Genomic DNA, 23,254 nt, shown 5'->3' with positions numbered 1-23,254 from the left:
AAAATTAGACAGGAACAGGGCAGGTGTTTTAGTCATGGAGGCTGGAGATAATGGTGGCCTGAACAAGCGGCATATCAGTGAGGAGAGGAGGCTAAATCTGAAAGACACCTAGTAGAGTTGACCAAATTTGGTGGTTTGCATTTCTAAACCATGAAAGAGGAGAGACTGGTGAAAAGTGAGCATGCAAATTCAAATATCAAGAGGGAAATCTGGACTGGAGAGGGTGACTTGCATCCCAGGAGCAGATGAAATCCTTCAGGGTGAACGTGTTGAGTTAGATGAGGAAAGAGCTACTCTCCAACCTGGTGAACAATAGATATGGTTTTTTTCTATATTCGGTGGTACTTCAGATTCATTTATTTAAAAAAATTGATGTCTCCACTTACTTTTTCAGTGGTATAGCATTTAAGTACTAGTAGCCTTGGCTACAATAGGGGTAAGTGGATGTTTTCTAACTGCATGTCACTTTGAAGAGAACCTAATGTGAGCACCGTTCTCCCTTGTCCTTGTCATGTTCCATAGACAGATATGTGACTTCAACCAGATGATAATGCATCAGAATACAGCAAGGAACCAGTTTTGCAATGCTTAGAAATATGTTTTCTTACATGTGGAAGATAATTCTCTGCAATTCAAATGCTTGATTTGATGAGGAAAGACGAGAAGCAATGTGAACTAAACTGTTAGGCTGGTTTGCAAAATAATTGTACTCATTCATTTTTATAACCACTCACACCCAGGCCTGTAGGGCATCTTAAGAAAACCGCCAGGGCCAAATTTGTAATTAGCTGAGTCCATTTTTGCCAGACCTAACCATGTATAAGACAGGGTTGGTTTTGTTATTTCCTTAATTGAAAGCGTCAAGAAAAATTCAAGCCAGGTCAGAGAGTTTTTTATTGGGGAAGGAATGCTGGCATAAATAACTCCAGATTATATGTCTGCCAGAGGCTGGGAGGAGATTTGTCTCTGTGGCCTCTTTCTGAGGTTACCCAAACAAACTCTGGTGACTGGCAGCTCCCCTATGTAATGTGGGAATGCACACGAGCATTGAAACCTCTTTAATTTTTTTCCCAGGGCAAAGGCCCAGGAAAGTCAAAGTGTCTCTAGGAACCTAAAAGCTTTTGACAACCATAAAATCATTCCTGATTTCCTCTAATATATCTTGTCCTCTCCTTTTTCCCCTTTTATTCCAGTTAATAGGTCAACAATATAACCCAGCCACCCTGGGACTAGATGGAGAAGGAACTGGTATTGGTTAACAGACTTAGGGAGTAGTTCCCACTGTTTCCATACTGCAAAGGTGGAAACTGAGACTTATTCAAGGTTGTTCAGGTGGGAAGTCATAAAAGGAGAATTCAAAATCACATCCATTTGGTGCCCAATTTATACACTTTGTACTATCCTGGCTGGGAAATACCTGTTTCAAATATAGAAGGTGTAGAGCTTAGGTGACAAGCATTCTGATGTCTTCCTCAATTAAGGCTCTAGTGGCCTTTTCATTGCTTTTCCTTCTCCCCACATTCCCACCCCAGGGACCATTCTTACATTAAGCAGCTGCCCTAGATTTCTTGGGGACACTAGACCTCTTTCCTAGCGATTTCTAGCACCCCCCTCCCACCATTTCTGGCTTATAGAAGGTACTTGCCCTCCTCTCTGACTTTCCACTTGCCTGCAGAAAAACTGATTGGCTTTGCTTTTCTCAAGCAGGGCAGGGCAGTATAACTGGTATAGAGACAGACTTCCTAAGGATACAATTAGTTGATGCTTCCCAACATGGAAAGGCATGGATCTTTCTGTCTGTAACCACACTTTGCAGTCTAGGTCTGCTCCTATGGAACCCTGGAGCATAGGGGAAACTGCCCCCATAACAGGATGGAAATAGTAAGTGTAACGAACGACAGTGCCTTTCCACACTTCCCTTCCTCCTCTGAATGAATTCTCCACCCAACTAAAATATGTCTCCAAAGCTATTTGAGAAATGTGAAGCTTGGCTAGCCCATAGGACCTATGGGCTTCTATACCAAAGCTGCTGGTATAGTATAGGTATGGAAAACCATGGATTTCAAATCTATAAATGCCCTATGCTGATACCTTACAACTGTACCCCCATGAAACTGATATAACCAGTGTCCTTGTTTTATAGGGAAAGTTCTAATATAGTGCCAAATGTAGCTTAGCCTTCCTGCCATTCTCCCAGGGAGTTCAAATTGGATTCCTCGCCTTCATTATCTCTGGAGGGTGGAGGGGAAGTATTGCCCACACAGTATCCCAGGAGTCATGAAACCAGTGTTTTATTAAATGCAACATCATCATTAATGCTGAACTTTATTTCCAAGTCCACTGGAGGCAGAAGAGAAAACAATTCAGGTAACCAGCTTCGCAGTTTTACTGTATTCCTCTGTCCAGTGCTTTCCCGTTTCTGGGTTTTGTGATCTAGGTTTGGATTAGGGATTCATAGTGGGAAGCTCCATGTTCCTGAAACCTGGTAATTATTTTGAATTAAGGATAAGAGTTTCACTTCCCTAATAAAATGTCAACAACAATACCTTACCCTTCATGCTTTCTGCTCTGTCTTGAGCATTTTTCATGCAGTAACTAGTGTAATAATCATGAAATTCTAGGCGTTAAGTCTTATCCTAACAGGTAAGGAACCAGGTCTGCTAAGATTGACCTGTGCTACCTCATGTGTGCTATCTGTCTGGGGGTGAGGAGTGATATCACAGTCTAGTAAAGGTCACTTGAACAGGCCATTCTCCCTGTGATTTCTATTTTTTTATGTACATCATAAAAGATGGCAGGATGCTATGAGACTATTGGCTATGAAGCTCTAGGGTCCTGAGTCTGGTATTTCTAGGGTAGGGCTTTCTGAGTTATGGCGTCTTCACCTCATAAACAGGAATAACACCTCTGCTTCAGATTGCACGGGAAGTAAGGAGATGGTAACGTGAAGAGACGGCAGAACATGCTATAATTTTAACAGCCAACAATAGATGGCTTTAGAAAGCTTAGATTAGATAATTCCAGACATTCTTATGAGCCATACTTGCAGCCTCCCAGGAACATTGCCTGTTTCTCTCCTGTAGAAAGCTGGAAAGGTATTTAGTTTGTGTTGAGTGGCTCTTTGACCAAGTATGCTTGATTCAGCTGTTAGCTTCTTTTGAATTCTACTGTGTTTGTTTGTTTTCACCAGCAAAGGTAGTAGAGTGCAGTGGGGCCCTTACGTGATCCAGACTTGAGCTCTGCTGTTTACTAGCCATATGTTCTTGGGCAATTTATATAACGTCTTCCTCCCAGGATGGATGTGAGGCCTGAAGAAGGCTGGTGCATGTTAGCCTCTGATGAAGGAGAGCTGTTGCTATTATTAAAGACTTAGCATATTCATATTGTGTGACTGCTTTGAGGGGCTTCTTCTATCACAAGTTAGCCAGTTTTCTTTAAGCAATACCAAAAAAGTGATTTTATTTTAAGGCAATTTCAATGACTTTATACAAGTTCCTTAAGATCTGAGGGCATCACTTTACTCATTAATTAAAATAAAATATTCTGTCCACTTCATGGAATTGTTGGGAACATTAAATGAGGTAATTTAAAGCACAGAAACCACAGGAGCTTAACATGGAGTAATTGTACATTAAAATACTGTGCACAATTTTCATTTTAAACCGCATATTTTAAAATAGTTTTTCCTTTGAGGATCCTCAACAGATTAGAATAACTTTTGAAGCTGGGACCAGGCAAGGAAGCAATCCTATCTAGCCTTGTCTCTGTGAGGCACCTGCTCTGAACCAGGCCCACTACAAACATTTGTCTGGCTTGGGGAAACAGTATGAATGAAGGCATGCCTATCATGTGTCTAAATATTTAGAAGTGATAAATCAGGCCAGCAAACTGTTAAGCCAAGTACGTTGCATCCTCTGATGATGAGTTACTTGCATAATGAACAGGATGGCCAGGTTCGAATTGAGGACTCATGGACGACTTGGAATTCTGTGCCAAAATGTGACTGGTCAGGAAGTGTGGGCCCCTACACCCCTTTTCTCCCCACCGCTGGCTCCATCCCATAAAGAGAGGGGCCTTGCGTGCTTCTACATGGACACCCTAACCTCCGAGCTCAAGCTCTGTTCATATCTTCCAACAAATAGCAGCCTTTTCACTCCCACCCCCACCGAACATCCAAGAGTATACAGGTGGTTGTCTAGTTCTTCTTGGGAAGCCAGACCTGGAAAGAGGCCACACAGACCTTGGAAGTAAGATAAGAGTTCAGAGCTGTCTAGGCAGAATGTTCTGGAGTCTGACATCTCGGAGCGTGGTCTAGAAGTGAGGGGGTCTGTAGGCTCTGGGTATATATATCCCCTTCACTTGGGAGTCTTCTTGTCCTATAAAGAAGGGAACAGTTGACAGAGTGGGACCCTTTAAAAGTGTGGGACCCTTTAAAAGTGTGGGGCCCAAACTTCAAAGGCCCCTCTTGCCTGTGTCTAAGGCTAGTGTTGCTCTGAACCCTATGGCTCCAAGGAGAACAACCTGTGAGTAATTTGTAACCTGTGTGTGAGCTGATGACATTTTTTACAGCTTTTCATATTTATACTCTTGTGTTTCTCCAAGCACCCTTTTCAACACAGTTTAAAGTCCCAATTCCTACTCCCAGCGTTATAAGTAGGATGTACTTTATTGCCTAAGATTTGACTCCATGGGAGCTCTGACTGATTCTTTCTGTTGACCACTGAGGCTACTAAGTGGGGAGAAGTTGTAGCCAGCTTGGTCCCTGACCAAGGGGAGATACCAACTCTGAACATTGTTTCTGCCAAGCTGGGAGTGGCACAGTTTCTTCTACAGACTCTTGCTCTTCTCCACCTCCAGCCCTGGGTCTACATATTCCCCTGGTGTCCTCAAGTCCAGAGTCTCTCCTTGGATCTTGCACAGATGGGAAGATGTGGGAGAACTGAGGTCCAGCAGTTTTGTGTGCAGACTTTGACCCAGTCACCCCATTGTCAGTGCCATGCTTTGTTCTGCCTTCTGCAACCCCTGGTACTTTCAAATTCTGAGTGGCTTCAGGTTCCTGCAGATATGTTGGCTCACTTTTCTAGAATATCCCCTCTATAGGAGTGTAGGCTGTGGCTGCCAGGAAACCCTACTTCATGTATTTTTTATGTTTTAAAAAAATTTTGAGGCCAGGCACAGTGGTTCACGCCTGTGATCCCAACACTTTGGGAAGCTGAGGCAGGCGGATCACCTGAGGTCAGGAGTTCAAGACCAGCCTGACCACCATGGATAAACCCTGACTCTGCTAAAAATACAAAATTAGCCAGGCATGGTGGTGCACGCCTGTAATCCCAGCTACTCAGGAGGCTGAGGCAGGAGAATTGCTTGAACCCGGGAGGCAGAGGTTGCAGTGAGCCGAGATCATGCCATTGCACTCCAGCCTGGGTAACAAGAGCAAAACTCTGTCTTAAAAAAAAAAAAATGAAATCTCTTGTCTGCTCATGTGTCTACAGTTAGTTTTTTCCCCTTGTGATTTAATATCTTTTGCTTTTCTTTTTACTGTCTTTGTCTTTATTTTGTGGAATTTCAGGAGGAAAACACAGTGGCTAATTCACTATGTTTAACTGAGGATAAAAATAGGAATAATAGAATAGTGGGTACTGATGTTCATCGAGGGTTTCCTCTATATCAGAATGGCCTCAAATTCCTTCTTCCATGGATCATCTCTTCCTTTTCCGAGATTTCTTCTGAGAACCAGGGATCTGCCATGCTGCCATGTCAGCTTTAAGCCACCGTAGAAAAGCCCTGCTTTTCAGAGGGCAGTTATTCCTATCTGTTTCCCTTGTGATTTGTATGTGTTCAGGTTTAGTAAACATTTATTAAGCACCTACTGCATATGAGGCAGCATGCAGTGCTTTCACTAACTTGACTTTTAATCCTTGTCGCAGCCCTGGAGGAGGTGGGTATGGAGCAAACTCAGGTGCCTGGATACTGAGACTTCTTCAAGGCTGAATAGCCAGAGCCTAAAATTGTGCCCATTTTCATAACCCTAGTGGTGGCAGGATCTCCAGTCATTTTGGAAATGTGATTTGTGCTTTTTTTTTTTTTTTCCTCATTAAGACTTCTCTGGAGGGGTAGGGTGGGGAGAGCGGGGTAGCGGAGGGAGGGAGGGGGAGTGGTGGGGAGCTGGAGAGATTAAGTTTTTGTGTTGTGTGTCCCTGTGTGCGAGCGTCATTTTAAGGTGGCTCGGGAGCGGCCCGGAGGAGCGAGGGACCGAAAAGGGAGCCATGCTGCGCTGAGGGGAGGCTGCACAGCTGCAGCCACCGCCACCGCCACCGCCGCAGGGTGGGGTGGGAGGGGCGGGAGCCACCGCCACCGCGGCCTCCAGAGTGGGCGCCTTTTGCCGTGGACGCTGACCGTCCGGGACGAGGGTTTCATCACCTTAAATGGTTTTGAACCAATGAAGCTGTATTCCCTTAAAAAGACGGACAGCCCATCGTGTGAACTATAGATTTATAGTGTACAGATTTATAGTGTGTACAGATTTATAGTGGGTTCATAGTGGCGTCATGCACGGAGACTCCTGCGAGTTCCCCTAAGTTCTTAGAGGACTGCTTTGCCTTTTGATCTGAGAGTTGCAAAGTTCCATAAAGTATGGCCCTTGTGGATAAGCACAAAGTCAAGAGACAGCAATTGGACAGAATTTGTGAAGGTATCCGCCCCCAGATCATGAACGGCCCCCTGCACTCCTGCCCCCTGGTGGCGCTGCTGGACGGCCGCGACTGCACTGTGGAGATGCCCATCCTGAAAGACCTGGCCACTGTGGCCTTCTGTGACGCGCAGTCCACGCAGGAAATCCACGAGAAGGTTCTAACGAAGCCATGGGTACCATGATGTACCACACCATCATCCTCACCAGGGAGGACCTAGAAAAGTTTAAGGCCCCGAGAGTGATCGTGCAGATAGGCAGTGGCTACGATAACGTGGACATCAAGGCTGCCAGCGAGCTCGGAATTGCTGTGTGCAATATCCCGTCTGCAGCCGTGGAAGAGACACCGGACTCTACCATCTGCCACATCCTCAATCTGTACCAGAGGAACACATGGCTGTACCAAGCACTGCGGTAAGGCACACGGGTTCAGAGCATGGAGCAGAACCGCGAGTTGGCCTCGGGATCGGCCAGCATCCGTGGGGAAATGCTGGGCCTCATCGGCTTTGATCGCAGGGGGTAGGCGGTTGCAGTTCGAGCCAAGGCCTTTGGATTCAGCGTCATATTTTATGACCCCTACTTGCAGGATGGGATCGAGCGATCCCTGGGCGTGCAGAGGGTCTACACTCTGTAGGATTTGCTGTATCAGAGCGACTGCGTCTCCTTGCACTGCAATCTCAACGAACATAACCACCACCTCATCAATGACTTTACCATAAAGCAGATGAGGCAGGGAGCATTCCTTGTGAACGCACCCCGTGGTGGCCTGGTGGACGAGAAAGCCTTAGCACAAGCTCTCAAGGAGGGCAGGATACGAGGGGCAGCCCTCTATGTGCGTGAGTCGGAGCCCTTTAGCTTTGCTCAGGGTCCGTTGAAAGATGCACCGAATCTTATCTGCACTCCTCACACTGCCTGGTACAGCAAGCAGGCGTCACTGGAGATGAGGGAGGCAGCTGCCACTGAGATCCGCCGAGCCATCACAGGTCACATCCCAGAAAGCTTAAGAAACTGTGTGAACAAGGAATTCTCTGTCACATCAGCGCCTTGGTCAGTAATAGACCAGCAAGCAATTCATCCTGAGCTCAATGGTGCCACATACAGATATCCGCCAGGCATCGTGGGCGTGGCTCCAGGAGGACTTCCTGCAGCCGTGGAAGGGATCATCCCTGGAGGCATCCCAGTGACTCACAACCTCCCAACAGTGGCACATCCTTCCCAGGCGCCCTCTCCCAACCAGCCCACAAAACACGGGGACAATCGAGAGCACTCCAACGAGCAATAGCAGAGAATGCCGGAAGGTAATCATTCAGATACATTTGGGACCAAGAGATAGTGAAAAATGATGAACTAAGAGAAAAAGAATATGATGGTCTTTGTAACTGATTCTGGACTTATGCATCATTGATGCTGCAGTGTTAAAACTACAAGAGCTAGAAAACTGAAGATGTCGTCTGCTTACGGAAGCGCTGAAAGACTAGGATGTGATTTATTAACGACCAACTTCTGTTATTGTGTGTTAAGTTTTTCATCTGTGCATCAAATCACAAAGAATAAATAGAGCTTTTTCCTTTATCAGTCCCTTGGGCACAGCAGGTCCTGAACACCCTGCTCTACAATGTTGCATCAAGAGTTCAAACAACAAAATAAAAAATATTAAGAGGATATCCCCATCCTGTGACTTGAGTCCCTTAAGTCTACAGGGGCTGGTGACCTCCTTTTGCTAATAGGAAAATTACATTACTACAAAATGGGGAGAAAACTGTTTGCCTGTGGTAGACACTTGCTCGCATAGGATTGAAGACAGTACAGGCTCCTGTACAGAGAAGCATCTCTCACATCTGAACTGCATACTGAGTGGGCAAGTTGGTTGTAAGTTCAGTAAAAACCCTCTGATGCAAAAAAAAAGTATTAACTTTCACAAGCTGTTTGTACTCAAATACATTTTCTCAGTTTCAGATCCTCTGCTGTTTTATTGAGTGGAAAGTTGAGCTAAAACGGTTCAAGAAGAATAATGTTGCATTTCCTTATGTCTCAGGAAACACTTTTTATGGTAACTTGTCAGATTGTCTATGAACAAACCCACTTTTTTAGACATTGATAAAGTCTTCTTTTCTTCACGTGATATTTTATACAAGAGCACTTCAGATGTATTAGATGTGACTGATTTTAACAAATCCTATTAGATTTGTATCAACTAGTTACATGTTCTATTCACAGTCTTTTGTGAATCATTGCCTTTTTGTTTGAAAAGATGGCCTCTTTTGAGCCTTTGTTTGGATACATTCCTGTTTTTGTGACAAAAGAAAAACTTTAAAATTGTCCCAAGCAGAAAAATAATGGCTATCAGAAGTATGTTTTGTTTCAGTGTGAGTTACTGTTACTGTATTTGTTTATTGTAAACGTAGACATTTAGCATTCACTGCAGTTTTCAGTAAAAAGTAATTAAAATTTGTTGAGTTCTGAAATTCAAGTACATCTCACTAATGTAAAAGTTCTCTACTTGAGATGTTTAAGGCAAGTGCGTTGTCAATTAGCCAATTTCCAACTCTTGTTACTACAGGGTTCTATCTGCCTATTCCATAACCAGACTCAAGAATGCTGACAATTACCTCATGTGATACAAAGTTTAATTGAAAACTCAAAACCTCACACAAGTCCATCATTATCAAGTCATGCCGTCCTTAAGTTGTAATGGTGGGTTAGAGCTAAGTCAATTAAAAAAAAACAAAGTTGCTCAACTTTTAGAATTCTGATTTTAATTTACCCCAAAGCAAAATGACCTGGACCTGGTTCAAGGGAGGGAAGTGAACCTTGAAACTGTTTTGCCAATAACCTAACAAAATGATATTTACAAAGAAGTGTTCCAAAATAGTCCCATGAGTTAAGAACTTGAAGTTGATTTAATGGACTTTCTTTTTAAATAGAATTAAACCTTTATACTCAAAAAAAAAAAAAAAAAAAAAAGACTTCTCTGCTCTTGAACTTGCTCATCATAGTATAAAACAGACAAAATTAATAGGTGCAATGTTTTATTAATCTCATCTCCTTAATGAGTTCTGTGGTGAGTTTAACTCATTCGTGGTCCAGTCCACACATATGGAAGTATGTGTGAACATTCATTTGTGCAATTATGTATTATTCCTATCTGTGTATAAGTCTTTAATTTTGGAAAAACACTTTGCCTTTTACATTAACTTCATCCACAATATGAAGGGATTTTGACTTTTGGAAAAGTAGCAAATCCTATATTTGAGAACTTTCGGGAATAAGTTTGAGAAGGATGTTTTCAGACAGAGTGTGACCAGAGAAGAGCCCCAGAGGGACGTGTCTGAGAGGTGGTTGAAAAACTTGGTCATGTTTATCAGAGAGGAAAGAGAATGCAGGCAGATGTGGTATGGTTTTCAAGAACATAAGGCACTTTTTATGGAAGAAGGAAGGACATCACCTTCCACGTGGCTTCTACAGGCAGACCTAGGACCCATGGTACAAGTTATGGGAGGATGAGGTCTGACCATTTGTGCTCCCTCAGAGAGAGTGAGGCCCCTGTCTCTGGAAGAGTTTAAATGGAGGCTCTTGACTCTGGCAGAGTGGACATGAGAGGGGACCCAGCATTTGGCTTAGACTTTCATCCTATGACTTCTAAGTCTTCAGGTTTGGAGTTTGATAGAAATTAATATTTCCCTTTTGTCTCGTTGGTTTCCAAGTCAAAGCCTATAAGAATTTTTTGAGCTGTTTCTAAAATATCTTTCCAAAAGTCATTTCTGAAACGTGCATCCTTTCTCTTGCAGGAGAAAATGCAGAAGTCTCCATGGACGTTTCCCTGGCTTACCGTGATGACGCGTTTGCTGAGTGGACTGAAATGGCCCATGAAAGAGTACCACGGAAACTCAAATGCACCTTCACATCTCCCAAGGTATGACCCCTTGCTGTCTAAGCTGACAGTTTTTATTTGGTTCTCAGGTATGTGGAAAGATTTGCTTACTTTTCATAGGTGTGTCCCTTCTTCGCATGAGGACAGCTTTGGTAATACCTGCTCTGCGGAGCATTTTATTTCCTCTTCTCTCCTGCCACGGGCCTTTCCTAACTTTGCTTTTGCCTATTACTGTTAAGATTTCCTGCAAAATAGTAAAAACATGAGGTTGAAGCCTCTGAGTACCTTGCCCCAGCTTTAGCCATTTTTTTCCTAAAGAGGAGAAAGATTAGGTGGTTTTATCACTGACGGTGTGACCTCAGGTAAGCTTACATAATCTGTCTGAGCTTCAGTTTTTCTTCTGCAAGATGAGATAAGAGTACCTACCTTGGGAGTCTGTTTAAGGGCTAGATCAAGCTTGTCCAACTCTGCCTGCGGGCCGCATGCAGCCCAGGACGGCTTTGAATGTGGCCCAATGTAAATTCATTACTTTCTTAAAACATTATAATTTCTTTTTGTGATTTTTTTTTTTTTTAGCTCATCAGCTATTATTAGTGTATTTTATGTGTGGCTCAAGACAATTCTCCTCCTTCCGGTTTGGCCCAGAGAAGCCAAAAGATTGGACACCCCTGGACTAGATGATACAATGACGTAGGCAGGATGACCTTCTAATTTAACATCTTGTCTGGGACATATTTGAGAGTCAAAGCGGATATTAACCAGATGGGCCACTAGGAGAAAACATATAAACTAAGGCCCTCCATGGGTAAACCTAAGTACCCATTGCAGTGTTTTTTGAAACACTAGGGGAGTCTCCCTCCCGCAGGTTTCCTAGAACAAAGCTACAGAAAATGTGTTCTGAGAACCAACAGTGGCAGCATCACCTGAGAGGTTTTAGGAAAGGCAGATTCCCAGGGCACACCCAGAACCTATTAAGTCAATGTCTCAGGGTGTAGGAGCAAGGAATCTGTGTTTTAACAGGCCTTCAGTTTATTAAACTCTATGAAGTTTGAGAGCCACTGCCCTAGACCCTCTGCTGAGTGCTAAATATAGGGCTGTCCTCCAGAGAAAGCCATTTGTAGGTAGAAATGAATGATAGACAAACTAGAGGAAGCAGGAGAGAGGAACAGCTAACATTTTCAGATCTTTGCATGCAACCAAGAAAATTAAAAACCTTTCTAGCTATCTCTGCAAGTTGACTGCATCTTTGAAATACTGGTTGAACATCTAAGCTAGATGGCTTTCGGATACAGAATTTTATCCATAGAAAAGGGAAAAGTCATTTCTCATTTATACACATGGAGGGCACTGAGTAGCGAGGGGGAAGGGTGTTTGCCTGCAACTGCTTCTTAATGCTTAATTATCTTTAGGATGTGTTGATCCCTTGCAAGAAAGATATTAAATCTTGAAAAGTGCGAAGGAAATGAATCATCAAGTCTCTGCTTTTTGATTGCAGTGAAATTTAGTCTTGAGTCTCAAGATTAAATGAGAAATTGCTTTAAAGCTTTTGAGTCCCTGGTGGATTGTGAAGTTAAAAAAAAAAAAGTCAAGTTGCCACCTGCTGTAATTTGTCCTAATGAGCTAGTCTCATGCTGGAGTTGGGGGAGAACTGGGGGTGGGGCAAAGGAAGGAGAGAGAGGAATCTTCTTAAATGCCCTAAATACTGGCAGAGGCAGGACTTTAGTGCATGAAGAAAAGTCTCTAACAGGATACAACGAACTTGTCTCTGAGACAGGAAGGTTGAGCCAGTGTCCCAGATGCCAATGTGTCTCTTTTAATTTGAACTTAGGTAAATTTGTGTCAAGGGTGTCCATGTTACTCACTCAGTAGTGACAGGGAAGTGTGGGGCACCCAGAGACCCATCGTGGGGGATTAGAAGTGACCCTGGAGATCATCTTACTTAACTTTCTCACTTAGGAGGAAACTGAGGCCAAATGAGGCAGGGTGACCCAAGGTACCCAGCAAGGAACATGGTCAGGACTAGAATCAGCCTCCTGGCCTGGAGTTCAGGAGTCTTTATCACAGCACAATGCCTGCCTTTGGGCAGGGCCCATGTCCTTCTCCCAATTCTGCTACTACTTTTGGGACCCTGGGCGAGACACACACCAGATGGAATTAGACTAAGTAGGTTTTGTTCCCTTCCGCCCTCAAGTTCTCAATTTCCATCAATAAAATAAGGCCCTAACTGGAAACAAATCAGAAAATACCCTCTTGCTGTTACCACAGAGGATAATCAGCCTCCTCACTGCAGCTTAATCTGAGGGAGAATTAGAGCCTGCAGTGAACTTTTAGTAGTACCTGCAGAGCCCCCATCCTCCCTGATTTGAAAGTATAAGAGAGAAAGGAGTGGAGGGGAGAGAAAGATGATCTATATAGGAAGAATCATCTGACCTGCAGCTGAGGTTTGAAAAAGCAGCATTCTTTCTACAGAAGAATTTTTAAAAATCTCACATGCCAACTCTAATCAACTGGTGTGTCTGACAAGAGCTGCTCACACCTTAGGGATAAAAACTGTTGACGACTGATTGGTTATGTGTGCCGTGGTGGGCAAGAGGAGGTAGAAGCACCTCCCCACCTCTACCTTGCCGTGTGTGTCTCTGTCTCTGTACAAAGGTCTGTTTACTGCATTCTAAGCTCTGACTGTTCAGTAAGGAACCCTCCCCACCAGCCAAGATCTCAGAAGGGGCAGAGCCCCTTCCTAGCCCCTTCCTACATACTCTTAGACTATGGACTCTTTGTTATCTTCTTTCTTCTCACTTCTTCAGTGGATCTTTGCTCTGAAGATTTATGACAAATTATGGAGGTCTTGCAAATTCAGGCTTAGGAACGACAAATTAGATCTCCCCTATCACTTGATCAGGAGGTGCCAAGGAAACATTGAAGCTGACATAGAAACCCAACATTGATGGTAGACTCTCATCTTCTATATCAGGGAAAAGTCCCGGCCTGCTGAAGCTCATGCCTCTTTATGCTCATCTTTACCCCTGGCCCCCACCCCTCAGCAGGTACACAGCCGGGAGTCCTGGTGAGGTGGAGCAGAATTTAGTTTTCAAAAAAAAGGTGTCTCCCTACTGTCCAATTTCCCACCACCGTGCTCTGGGCAGTATCTCTTAAATTGTTTGGCACGAAGTCCAAGAGGCTTTCCTAGACACTGGGCTAAATTCTTATTTCATTAAAACTTCTATTCCCTTCTGCCATCTTGGACTGTTAGGAAGCACCGGAGGCAGAAAATTCTTAGTGGGTATCTCTGGCCACTAATCTTATTATCTTTCTTTCTTCTGTTTCGACCTTCCCTAAATACCAACGGCTCCTTGTGTCTTTTTTTTTCCTGGCAAGTGAATAAAAAGAAGATATTTTCAGCTTCTTCTAGCTTCTCCCTCAGGCCAAAATCAGGAGAATAATTAGCCGTCATTAAAGAGTGTAATGATTCAGCAAGAGCTTCCACCTGAACGTTTAAGAAGCTGACTGTTCCACAGAGCCTTAGAGGACCCTGACAACACACTGCAGATAAAAACTCTTGTAGCCCTGGCAGACAAGATTCGTAAGATGCGAGGTTCTAATGAAGATTAAACAGCCTAGAAAGGTGTTAGGAGATAGAAGGAAGGTATCTCTGCTTTCTACCTAAAATTTCTGGTTCTACCTTGAATACAGCTGTTTTTTGTTGTTGTTGTTGTTGATGTTTGTTTTAGGTTGGGATAGCTGGGTAGACGCCATGCCTCCAGTATGCATTGTTACTCTGTACGTCTAAAGTGTACCTTTAAGCATTAGCTGCTTACAATTGATGTTATGGATCCAGGGTAACAGAATTCAGAGCCAGTCTATTGGAAATAGTGACCCTGCCTCAAACCCTCTGCTCTTTTTCCAGACTCCAGAGCATGAGGGCCGTTACTATGAATGTGATGTCCTTCCTTTCATGGAAATTGGGTCTGTGGCCCATAAGTTTTACCTTTTAAACATCCGGCTGCCTGTGAATGAGAAGAAGAAAATCAATGTGGGAATTGGGGAGATAAAGGATATCCGGTTGGTGGTAAGTGAATGTAATTGATCTTGACATGTGTATTGGAGGGGAACTCCATCTCACTCTTGGCACCTCTATGCCTCACCTGTCTCATCTGAGAAATGGGAATAATAACATACTCATGATGGCTGAGATCATAAAGTGAACTAATTTGTGTGAGAGATTACAGAAATGGGAAACAATGCAATTATTGTGCCCACTTAAGATTTTAAATGGGCTTAAGATCACTTAAGATCATTACAATGATGATAAGATCATGAAATAGTCATGATTGCATAATGAATAACACTGAGATAAAAGTAAATTTTCTTTTTTATGTGTTTCACCTTGCAAGCACAAATGTTAAAAGGAATAGGGGTGGTTTAGGTTCTTTCCATCATATTTGTTTAATTGGGGAAAAGTTAGAACTTGCTGCAAGGAGGCCATTTCTTTTCAATCTCAACAAAGTCCCACAAGAATTGTGTAGAGACACAGAAAAGCATAATAATTACCTGTAATGTCCTACTATTTAGAGAAATAATCACTGTTCAGGTTTTGATATATCTCCTTCCAGGCTTTTTTTTATACGTAGTAATTCCCTTACAAAAAGTAGGATCATATTGAACTGACTGTTTTCCTTGCTTTCTTTATTTAATGGTATATGTAATATAAATTGGTGAATGTAATATAAATATACTTTCCAATATTGATTAGCATTTTATAGAATAGATTTACCTTAACACTTACCAATCTCAACATATTGACCATCTAGGATATCTGCAACTTTCTAATGAAAAGCTTACAAAAAAAATTGATCATGTACTTAATCGTAATCTTAGCATAGGGAAAAAGCTCTTGTAGCCTTAGTAGACCAGATTAGTAAGATGTGAGGGTAGAATGAGGATTAAACGGCCAAGAGAGGTGTTAAGAGATAGAGGATATCTCTGCTTTTTACCTGAAATTTCTGGTTCTACCTCAAATGTGGCTTTTTTGGGGGGTACACTGTGGGGGTGGTAGCTGGGTAGATATCATACACCCTGTATGCCCTATTAATCCATACCTGCCCTATTAATCCGTACCTCTAAAGTGTATCTTTAGGTATTAGCATTTTAATATCAGTGGGATGAGTCCAAGGTAAGATAATTCGAAGTCTCTTGGAAATAGTGACCCTGCCCCAAAGCCCCATGTTCTTCTTTCAGACCCCAGAACATGAAAGCCGTTATTGTGAATGGGATGCCCTCTTTATTTCTCTGGTCTCAGGTCCATAGCACAGGGCTCTTTTAATATGTATTTCTATTATCTCTGAGGAGAGTCCAAGGGTGTATGAGGGCAGTACCTGCTATGAATGTGAAAGCTCTTGATCGTGAACATTCGCAGACGAGGTCTCCACTTACCTCTCCCACAAAAGCATTTGCTAGTAGAAGGAAATGCTAAGATAATATTCACCTTCAAAATTATCACTGGTCTCTGCCTAGGGGATCCACCAAAATGGAGGCTTCACCAAGGTGTGGTTTGCCATGAAGACCTTCCTTACGCCCAGCATCTTCATCATTATGGTGTGGTATTGGAGGAGGATCACCATGATGTCCCGACCCCCAGTGCTTCTGGAAAAGTAAGAGCTGGTTTTGGAGCGCTCTTCAGGAATACTGGCTTCTCATGATCTGCCAAGCTCTTGCTTTTGCTGGTGTCCAGTTCAAGCAGCCAGTGTGTGACTTAGGCCAGTGATTTGACCAGGAGTCATCCTGGACTCCTTTTTCTCCTGCAGTTTTCCTATGCAAGTTGTTATTAAGTAAATCCTCGGGGTTCTACCTCTCTCACCTTTCTGGCTCTTTTTAATTAATTAATTTATTTTTTGGAGACAAGGTCTCACTCTGTTGTCCAGGCTGGAGTGCAGTGCTGGGATCTCAGCTTGCTGCAGCCTTGACTTTCCAGGCTCCAGTGGTCATCCCACCTCAGCCTCCCGGTAGCTAGAACCACAGGTGTATGCTTCCCAGCTAGTTTTTTGTATTTTTTGTAGAGACAGGGTTTCCCTATGTTGCCCAGGCTGATCTCGAAATCCTGAGCTCAAGTGATTTGCCCGCTTCAGCTTCCCAAAGTGCTGGGATTACAGGTGTGAGCCACCACACCCAGCTGACCTTTCTGGTTCTTTAACCTGTCTTTGCTCTTCGGGATATTCCGTGGTCAGAATCAGATACTTGTCTGTGTTGTAGTGAAGAAACTCCCCTAAGCCCAGCTCCTCTCACTTACAGAAAGACAGTGCTCCTGTAGATGTACCTACTTTCTCTCCACATCATTGACTTCTCCCTTTCTGCTGGATTCTATTAATATACAAACATGTCCTGCCATCTCCCATTCTTAGACAAAATTCTCCCATTTCCCACTTCCCCCTGAAGCCACATACCCTTTTTCTGCTCCTCTTTACAGCAATGCTTCTCAAAAACCTTGTGCATATGTCTTCTCCTCTGTTCTCTCTTGAGTCCTTTCCAGTCTGGATTCATCTCCACCACTCTACTAAAACTGCTTTTCACGGGATCACCAACAACCTTCATAGTCCAAATCCAAAGGTCATTTTTTGTTCCTCACTTTTTTTTTATTCATCCCAGCATCTGACATAATTGATCAGTTTTTCTTCCCAGAGTCTCCTCTACCCTTCTGTTGGTCATTCTTCTTTGCTGACCAGCATTTAGATTCCATTCCTGTCTCCTTCCATCTTTCCAGACTCTTAGACTTTGGGACTGGGGCACCTGCTTTGGACCTCTTCTCTTTATTAGCTGTGCTTTCCCTAGGGGGGTTGATTTCACCTACCTTTGTGGTCTGAAAAATCATCTATTCTCTGATGACTCTTAATCTGTATCTTTAGCCTCAGCCTCTCCCAACTCTGGACCCAAATATTCCAGCTCTTTACTTAATGTCTTCATTTGCATTGAAAATGTCACATGTACCAAGAACAACACTTGATTGTGTCCCATTTCCAACCTATTCCCTCCCAGGATCCCCATTTCAGTAAAAGGCAACTCCATCCTTTCAGTTGTTCAGACTGGAAATGTAGCAGTGAGTCATCCTGTATGTCTCTGTTTTTCACACTTCTCATCAACCTCACCAGGAAATCTCACCAATTCCACTGCTGCCACCCTAATCTAACTAACCAACCATCGCTTCTCACCTGGATCAGTGGGAACAGCCTCGCAACCCCTTTCCTTGCTTCCATCACGTGCCTCCCTGCAGCCTATTCACAGGATAGCCAGGAGTGCCCCCTTTCAAGTGTTAATCAGATCCTGTCACCCCTCTGCTCAAAGCTCTCCACTGGCTTTTCATCTCCTTTGCCCTGACCTATAAGCCCCTTGATGATTGGGTGCCTTCCACCTCTGATCTTGTCACTTGTCCTCTCCACCACCCACCAGCCCCCTTTATTGTGCTCAAACCCACACCCCAGGGCCTTCACACCTGCTGATCTCTTCGTCTGTCCACCTTACGTAAAATCACATCCCCATTGCTCTCCACTCTCTTGCCTAGCTTTTTTTTTCATGATGCTCATTCTTCATTTATTATCTTTTTCTTGTACTCCCTCTCTCATTCCATCTCTATGCAAGCATCACAAGAGCACAATCCTTGCTTTTCTTGTTCACAGTTATATTCCCAGCATCTTAGAATAGTGACTGACACATAGTAGGAGTTTAATAAATATTTTTTGAATGAATCATGTCACTCCATTGTTTAAACTTTTTATTGGATTCCAATAAAAAGTCTCTTCAAGATAAATTTCAGTTCTCCAGTGGGGTATGCAAGTTTCTTCATGAGCACAGCCCTCTTTGTTTCTCTGGTCTCATGTCCTGTCATTTCCTGATGTGCCACATGCAGATCCCCAAATGCAGCAGGTTCTTCCAGGCCTCTATGCCTCCATCCAGGCTCTGCCCTCTCCTCCAAACACCCTTTCCACTTCCCTCACTTTGACTCACAAGTCAGCTCCATTCCTGTCTGTGTCAAAGTCAGAAGTCCTGGTAGCAGCCCTCTATGCTTTAAAACTCTATGATGTTCCTGATCCTAATCTATTCAGTTGTCTCTTTATCTGGCTCCTCTACTAACTGTATCTCCCGTGAGTGAAAAAACAGGTCCTGTTCATTTAGGATTCCATAGTGCTAACACAATACCTGGTACATGATCTGTGCTTAATTAACATATGTGTTTCAAGGGGATGGAAAAAAGTATGAATAAATCAGTGACTTAAGAATTATATTTTAGTAGAGAATTGGCAGTTCTTAGTGTGACAGGGGAAGAGTAAAATAAAAGCTAAACAAGCAGTCAAGAGAATTTACATTTCAAATGTGTTTGGAGTCATGTATTATTGAAACAAATATGCTTATATAATTCATAGTTGCTGAGGATATCACAATAATAATGAGTGTTCTTAATGATCAGATGAATGATAACCTGAATAGGTGAAAGAGGACAATTGTACTCACTGAGGCCTGGGTGAGAAGGCAAGGGGACACAAACATTATAGGAAGACTGCCATCTGCAGTGGTACCAAAGTAAAGTGTGAGGCATTAAGGAGGTCAGGTTCACTTCCATAGAAAGGTTGGTATAGCACTCCCTCATTCTGCAGCAGTGCCAACTACATAGGACGTTTTGCATCTCTGTGCAGAAGAAATTGATCATATGGCTTCAGACCCAATAAGTAACATCTCATGTCTCAAAACTGAATTCGGGGAATTGTTTGAAAATCTGCCTTCCAGATGAATAAAGTGGCTGTCCTGATATTTTCTCACCATCAGAGTCATCTTTGCCCTTGGGATTTCCATGACCTTTATCAATATCCCAGTGGAATGGTTTTCCATCGGGTTTGACTGGACCTGGATGCTGCTGTTTGGTGACATCCGACAGGGCATCTTCTATGCGATGCTTCTGTCCTTCTGGATCATCTTCTGTGGCGAGCACATGATGGTAAGAGCCGCCGGGAGGGACAGACGTCTGTACCAGCTGCTCTGTGCAGGCTGCCAAGCTGACACCTGCCCCCCTTTGCCTCTAGTCAGCAGTGGGTGAGACAGAATAAACTAGTAGTTACAAGTGGGAACTCTGGAGGCAGACCCTCTGGTTCACATTCCTGCTTCACCACCTGCTGACCAGCTGAGTGGCTTTAGGCAAATGACATTATCACTCTGAATCTCGGGTCCCTCATCTATAAAATGGGATGTAAAGACCTACTGCATGGGGTTTTCATGAGAATTAAATGACAGAATGTGAGTAACTTAAGATAAACACACACATTCTAATGATTAGTATTATTTCTTGCCCTTGAGCTTGAGTTTCTTGTCTGCTGGCTTCTGCCCTGCTTGTCCTGTCCCCAGGAATACAGGTTAACCATCAGAGAATGTGGGCCTGGCTCTTTCCAGCTGGCAATGTGTCCAGGTGGCCTAGTAACCCCTATTACTCTGAAATACAGACCTTCCCGGTCTCCTCAGTTTGCACAGACACCAAATCATATTTCAAGAGGGATTGAAGGTACCATGGTTAAAAATAAGAATGGTGTCATCATCACATTGTGGCTAAGATGATATGCCAGCTGGAACTTGGTCTTCACGTCAGGCACATGGGCTTCACAGCAGAGTGGACTGTTTTTAAATTCCATTATGGCTCAATCATGAAAACCAGACCTCTCAAGTCCTGCTGCCCTTCCAGGAGAGCAGTGTGAGAGCAGAGAGAGAGACTTCTTCCTACTGCTAAACTGTCTACATTAAGGGGTCTTTCTCCATGAGGTGTCCTCCAGCAGAGATGCGCTGAGAATGAGGCCTCAGCAGCAGGGCGGGGGAGTGGATGGAACTTGGTCCAGCACCAGGAAGCCAGCCAAGGATTGTCCGCAGGGAGCTGGTGTGGACTGACCCACCTGGGGCCCCACCTGGAGGCTAAGATCATCTTTGCTTTCCCTTTTTTCTCATTCTACATTCCTTCCTTTTCTTTCTCTTGGTGTCTTTGTTTATCAAGGGGACTCATTCCTGGTTTTAATAAGGATGGGGAGAAAATATGCCTATTTTCCTCACCATAATAGACACACTTTACATATTTAAATGCTTTAATGTCTTTACTTTGTCTTCTGAGGATCAGTCACTTTTATAAACACAAGTTACAAGTCACGTAGAAATTTAATTCAGAATGAGTTATTTTGTGGACCACAAAATGTCCCCTGCCTGGGAGCCGAGGCCTTTCTTTGTGTTCCCATGGCATCCTGTTCTTATTACTCTCAGAGCCCTTATGGCTGGGCTTTGTCATGTTCTACGTATGTGCCAGACTCCCCCACAGAGATGAGCTCCTGAAGAAGAGATTTTCATCTTCTTTGTTCTCATACCTAGAATCTAGCATAGTGCTTGATACACAATAGGTGGTCGGCAAGTGTCCTTCGAATGCTGACTCCCCCATAGAATTGCTTGGTCTTCCTCTCCCCTCTATCTCCCTTCTCAATTTGGTTTTCCTCAGGATCAGCACGAGCGGAACCACATCGCAGGGTATTGGAAGCAAGTCGGACCCATTGCCGTTGGCTCCTTCTGCCTCTTCATATTTGACATGTGTGAGAGGTGAGCAAGTGTTTGTGGGACACTGAGCCAAACTGTGCATCACCACGCCCACTCCTGTCATTTTAGGAGGAGTGTTTGAAAAGGAGAATGGTGGTCGGGAACCTTTGGTTTGGAAGCACTGGACGTGGTCACATCCTCAGACAAGGTCTGGGATCAAATCAAAGGCACAGCTCTTTACAGTTGAAAAATATTTGGGCCGATGTATTCTACAAGCTTCATTTCTCTTTAGGATTTCTGTAATGTTTTTTAGCCTAAATACAGCCCTCACCCCTGCAGCTGAAAAGCTAAGAATATGTGAAAAGGAAAGTTCCCGTTGCCTTTGTATTAATTGTGTCTTGCCTTTCCATCTCATTTTCTTTGTAGAGGGGTACAACTCACGAATCCCTTCTACAGTATCTGGACTACAGACATTGGAACAGAGCTGGCCGTATCCTTCCTTGATGGGCTCAGGGTTTTATTTCTTCCCCTGGCCACCCAGTCCCCAAGATCATTTTCTAAGGCTCTGCTGATGCTCCCCATATGTACTCAGCCAGGGCTTTGATTCTCAGGCCAATCATAACAGCACAATTAAGGCTAATAATAAGAAGAATTACTGCTTGCTTTCAAGCCTGGGTGAGAGCAGGCAAAATGAGAAGGTCACAGCCTATCCTCACAGCAGAGGGATCCGAGTTGCTAGGCTTACTGCAGCCTGTCTGAATTATCTGTTATACACTGTTTCCTGCAGACTGAAGCATGACTAGCTTTTCCCTGGAGCCATGGAGGTTCATCTCTGGGCCCCTGTGGAAGAGCCTGTTTCTGAAACCACCTATGTGTGAGACTTCTTAAGTGACCTTGGTGTGCTGGCAAATCACACTGCTGCTATTTATTCCTGAGACCAAGTGGAGATAAGGCTAAGGTGATTAGTTCCAGAGAAGTCGCCAAGGCTTCTGGTTGGTTGGCATAAACTCTAAGTCATCTTCATGAAGCAGAAGTGACAGTCTTAGCTTATCCCTTTTAGGATGCTGGATTTAAATATTTTATCTTCCGGAATAGTATGTGAAATGATCTTGGGAGAAAAAGACTCTGCTCTGGAGTGGAGAGAAAGGCTTGGGTTGTATTCTTCCTTGATGGCTCATATCTTGCCACGTGCTAGGGAATATCCTTTGTCTTGCCATGATGTTTATATTGGTTTCTCAGTGTCACAAGAACATTGTGAGCAAACTAAATCAGTAGTATCATTTCCTCAAAGATGAGAGAGAAGCTCTACCCTTCCTCTGTTATGCCCCCACCAAATGTTAGCTGCACAACAAGAAGAATGTTTCTAATGTTAAATCTAGTTCAACTTTTTTAATTTTGTAGATAGGATGGAGTGAGTAAAATTTCAAGTCCTGCAGAAAATAACTATATTCCCTTCATTCCAGGATGATGTTCATTATAGGAAAGAAGGAGAAACTGCATTAGATATTATATTATTTAATGAAATATGCACGCCAAGTTCATACTTATTAAATGCTTTTAAAAATAGACAATTTGGGCCAGGTGTGGTGGCTTATCCCTGTAATCCCAGCTACTCGGGAGGCTGAGGCAGGAGAATCGCTTGAACCTGGGAGGAGGAGGTTGTGGTGAGCCAAGATTGTGCCATCGCACTTCAGCCCGGGCAACAAAAGCAAAACTCTGTCTCAAAAAAAAAAAGGCAATTTGGGCAAAGTTGTAGCAGAAAGGGGTTGGAATCAGGTCATCTGCCTTCCAAGGCAGCTCACGCTATCCTAAGACTTGGTGGTTCTCAGACTGGCTCTAATTGGCAGGTCAGTCTCCCTAGTGGGTCTCAAGTATACTGGCAGCAACCCAGACTCCCACCTGTGCCATGTGTCCTTGAATCCCCATTCTGTTGGACAAGATTTTCTGTGGTGACAGAAGATTGCAAATAGTCCTTCATCCCTGGTTTCACTTTAAGACTTTCAAGCCCATGCCCAGGTCCCCTGCACTGAGCCCCCACGTATCTCCTCTTCAATTATGCCAGAGTATCTCAATCGCATTCTTATAAAACTCCAAGGACTAGCCCAGTGGTTCCCAAACATAGTCATACTTGATGTCCTAGCCCTGGAATATCTGAT

At 43.6% G+C, this 23,254-nt stretch overlaps 1 protein-coding gene, 1 long non-coding RNA gene and 1 pseudogene across 5 annotated transcripts in view, besides 2 other annotated features; 2 read left to right on the top strand and 1 right to left on the bottom strand.

Annotated features, from left to right (window-relative positions):
* Positions 1-23,254, bottom strand: part of GNG12-AS1 (GNG12, DIRAS3 and WLS antisense RNA 1) — a 370,700-nt gene that overhangs the window by 33,264 nt on the left and 314,182 nt on the right. The window lies entirely within an intron of this gene.
* WLS (Wnt ligand secretion mediator) overlaps positions 1-23,254 on the top strand; it is a 134,088-nt gene that overhangs the window by 62,823 nt on the left and 48,011 nt on the right. For all 4 annotated transcript variants that reach the window (NM_001002292.4, XM_011542191.3, NM_001193334.1 and 1 more), the window contains 6 exons: positions 10,477-10,601; positions 14,464-14,625; positions 16,071-16,207; positions 19,368-19,536; positions 21,064-21,161; positions 21,525-21,588. In NM_001002292.4, coding sequence (NP_001002292.3) covers positions 10,477-10,601; positions 14,464-14,625; positions 16,071-16,207; positions 19,368-19,536; positions 21,064-21,161; positions 21,525-21,588 — 755 coding nt within the window. The remainder of the gene's footprint in view (positions 1-10,476; positions 10,602-14,463; positions 14,626-16,070; positions 16,208-19,367; positions 19,537-21,063; positions 21,162-21,524; positions 21,589-23,254) is intronic.
* CTBP2P8 (CTBP2 pseudogene 8) lies at positions 6,495-8,167 on the top strand (annotated as a pseudogene).
* Positions 7,303-7,879: an enhancer, noted in NCBI's record as "H3K4me1 hESC enhancer chr1:68627528-68628104 (GRCh37/hg19 assembly coordinates)". NCBI's record gives its function as "activates a minimal SCP1, AML or CMV promoter by ChIP-STARR-seq in primed H9 embryonic stem cells {active_cell/tissue: H9 hESC(primed)}" and the evidence as "EXISTENCE:reporter gene assay evidence [ECO:0000049][PMID:30033119]".
* Positions 20,800-21,999: an enhancer, noted in NCBI's record as "BRD4-independent group 4 enhancer chr1:68613408-68614607 (GRCh37/hg19 assembly coordinates)". NCBI's record gives its function as "activates an origin of replication core promoter dependent on BRD2, P300/CBP, MED14 and CDK7 cofactors, and independent of BRD4, by STARR-seq in HCT116 cells {active_cell/tissue: HCT116}" and the evidence as "EXISTENCE:reporter gene assay evidence [ECO:0000049][PMID:35650434]".

Source organism: Homo sapiens, chromosome 1, assembly GCF_000001405.40.
Source record: "Homo sapiens chromosome 1, GRCh38.p14 Primary Assembly".
Lineage (NCBI taxonomy): Eukaryota > Metazoa > Chordata > Mammalia > Primates > Hominidae > Homo > Homo sapiens.
The sequence above is the reverse complement of the archived record's forward strand: the minus strand, read 5'-3'. Positions and strand labels throughout refer to the sequence as shown.